The 3,553-nt window shown below is 46.9% G+C and overlaps 1 annotated feature.

The window, feature by feature from the left end:
• Window positions 619-698: an enhancer, noted in NCBI's record as "active region_20434". NCBI's record gives its function as "activates an Ori minimal core promoter by ATAC-STARR-seq in GM12878 lymphoblastoid cells {active_cell/tissue: GM12878}" and the evidence as "EXISTENCE:reporter gene assay evidence [ECO:0000049][PMID:35858748]".

A 3,553-nucleotide genomic window follows, 5' to 3' on the forward strand; every position in this document is an offset into this window, starting at 1 on the left:
TTTCCTAAGTGACCATAGTGCCATCGAGTCAGCTGCACTGGACTAACAACTTCAGTTATGAAGCCACCTTTGCAAAGATTATGACCATAGAAGACGCCTAGCATGGCTGACTCCATCTTGCTTCTAGCCTCACAGGCTGGCTGTCCTCTCTTATTCCTGGGCATAGGCCAAGCTAACCTTTGGAGGAATTTAGTTTACAGTTTAACTTGGAAGCAAGGACAATAGTAGTCCCTCCTTATAACGGACCCCCTCCTTGTTCAGGGACTGAAACCACCTTTGTGAGACTGAAGAAAGGCTACAAGATTAGGATTATGCGAGGGGCCTGAATTCTGCTAAAATGTAGGCATAGTTAACCTATAATCAGCCATTGTTCTCTGGTTTGCCTTTCTATAATGCCTTACTGCTCAAGAGTTATGTGGCCAGAGGTTACAAGATTTGTTACTTCCCCAATTGCTCCTGTAGATGACACCATGATTGTAGAACCTATGATCAGTCTTTTAAGATGACTTCTGCTTTCTGGCAACTGACTGACTCCACCCAGCCTCATGACTCCTGACCCTGCTCAGAGGCTGACTCAGCGCAGAAGGACTGCTTTCCACACCCTATGATTTGATCCCCAACCAATCAGCAGCACCTCTGCCCCAATTATCCATAAAAGCCCTGACCTCTGAGTTCCTGGGGAGACTGATTTTAGTAATAAACTCCCATTTACAACATGGGTAGCCTGTGTTAATTAAACTCATTTTTTTTTTTTTTTACATTTTCCTTCCTTCCTTCCTTTCTTTTTTCTTTGTAGTTTCTTGTTGTTTTTGAGACAGGCTGGAGTGCAGTGGTGCAATCGTAGCTCACTGCAACTACAAACTACTACCAGGCTTGAGTGATACTCCTACCTCAGCCTCCCTAGTAGCTGGGACTATGGGTGCATGGCACCACATTCACTGCAACCTCCACCCTCCAGATTCAAGCAATTCTCCTGCCTCAGCCTCCTGAGTAGCAGGATTACAGGCACATGCCAGCACACCCAGCTAATTTTTGTATTTTTAGTAGAGATGGGGTTTCGCCATGTTGGCCAGGCTGACCTTGGCCTCCCCAAGTGCTGGGATTACAGGCATGAGCCACAGCTCCTGGCCTTTATTTTAATTTTAAGGCGAGCTCTAGAATGAGAAGGAATCCACTACAATTTACCTGTGAGATATTGGGCAGGTTACTTGACCTCTCTGACTGAACCTTGGCTCTTCATCTATCAAATGAGAAAAATACCACCTGCCTCATTGGATGACTGTGAGGAATGACTAGAAGCCAAGTGCCTGGCCAAAGCAGGCACTCAGCATGTACTAGTCTCCGTCCCAATTCATTGGTCCTTTCCTATGAGGATACTGACTGTGAAAACATCTGGTAGGTTTAGTGAATTGGCCTAGTGCAGACAATAAGAACTCACAAATCAGCCAGGTGCAGTGGCTCACACCTGTAATCCCAGCACTTTGGGAAGCCGAGGCAGGTGGATCACTTGAGCCTAGGAGTTTAAAACCAGCTTGGGTAATGTGGTGAAACCCCATTTCTATAAAAAACCCAAAATACAAAATTAACCAGGCATGGTGGTGTGTGCCTGTAGTCCCAGCTATTTGGGAGGCTGAGGTGAGAGGATTGCTTGAGACCGGGAGGGTGAGGCCTCAGTGAGCTGTGTTTGCACCACTGCACTCTAGCCTGGGTGACAGAGCTCCAAAAAAAAAAAAAAAAAAAGGGAGGTGGGGAGGTGGGGGCTGGTGGGGGCTACATTGCATCAGGGAACCACGAAACCACTGAGCCATTTCCCTAGATGCCTGCTGGTTCTTGTCTCCTCCCTCCCCCTCACCTGATGGAATATAGCTGGTGAACACTCCTGAGGGAGTGTATGGTTCCAACCAGTTCAGAGTGGGGCTGTCTAGGTCACAAATCCCAATTCCTGGCTTGCGTAAGGTGTCCAGCCTAAGCCAATGAACTCCTTACAGCCATGGGAAATGAGGTACACAGTGCAGAAGTGGTTTCTGGGGCCCAGCCTAACATGAGCAAAGACACACTTCACTACAGTGTGTGACCGAGGACTCAAGACCAATCTAGACTGGACATCTATGTTGCACAAGGAAGGCCAGAATGACCAAACACAAGCAAATATAACCAAAGAGACCTGAATCATGATGGAGAAGGAGAAACAAAACCCCTGGCTTATGGGTGGGTTTAGACAGAGAAAACGCAGGGCTTGGTGGGGAGAAGGAAGATGGGGCAGGGAGAATTCCTGAGTGTGGTAGCTAATGGTTGAGGAGCTTGGTGGAGAAAGGGGAAAGGGGAGAGGGAGGGCAGCCAGGGCCGCTGCCTTGCTCCCTAGAATAGAGCTTATTCCTCCTCCATGGCATCCTGTGATCCCTTTCCCTCCCTGCATCCTGATTCTAAACGAGGTCCCTGTCTGCCATCCACTTCCTAGTTAAAGAAAAGCATTTTATGTATGTGTGTATGTATGTATGTACGTATGTATGTATGTATTTTAGGCAGAGTCTTTCTCTGTCACCCAGGCTGGAGTGCAGTGGCATGATCTTGGCTCACTGCAGCCTCCGCCCCCCCCTCCACCCAGGGTCAAGTGATCCTCCCACCTCAGCCTCAGCCTCCCAATAGCTGGGATCACAGCTGTGCACCACCAGGACCGGGTAATTTTTTTTAAAATTTTTTTACTTTTAGTAGAGATGGGGCCTCACCATGTTTCCCAGGCTAAGAAAAGTGTTTGAAAAATAAGTAAATAAATAGTGATGACACAGATCATAGTAAACATAGCTTCCCCTTACTAAGAGCCTACTATCTCACGGCTGTTTGACACAGTTTATCTCTAATTCTCACAGCTTTTTGAGGCAAACATTGCTGTCCCCATTTGCTACACATGGGTGAGTCTCAGCATGACACAGTCTGTTGCCCCAAGCCACGCAGCTTCTGTGGACCCAGCACACAGTCAGACCCTGGTCCTCTGAGGGCTGCTGCCAATACCGCAGGGTGCTTTATAAAGGTGATGAGAAACTGTATTAGTTTCCTATTGCTGTTGTGACAAAATACCCCAGCTTAGTGCTTAAAACAATGTAAAGGTACTAACTTAAAGCTTTGGCCAGGTGCAGTGGCTCATGCCTGTAATCCCAGCACTTTGGGAGGCTGAGGCTGGCAGATCACATGAGATCAAGAGTTCGAGACCAGCCTGGCCAATATGGCAAGACCCCAACTCTACTAAAAATACAATAATCAGCCAGGCGTGGTGATGCACATCTATAATCCCAGCTACTCAGGAGGCTGAGGCAGGAGAATCACTTAAACCCGGGAGGTGAAGGTTGTAGTGAGCCGAGACTGAACCACTTGACTCCAGCCTGGGTGACAGAGCAAGACTCTATCTCAAAAAACAAAAGCAAAAACAAAAACCTTTGTTAAACTAATGAGTGAGGAATAGTAAACTAAACTAAAAATCTTATCCTCTGCTTTCATTTGTTTTCATTTTCATTTTAGTTTTTGATTGCTCTATCCTAAAATGTGATGGAACTGGGAA

Source organism: Homo sapiens, chromosome 3, assembly GCF_000001405.40.
Source record: "Homo sapiens chromosome 3, GRCh38.p14 Primary Assembly".
In the NCBI taxonomy this organism is placed as follows: domain Eukaryota; kingdom Metazoa; phylum Chordata; class Mammalia; order Primates; family Hominidae; genus Homo; species Homo sapiens.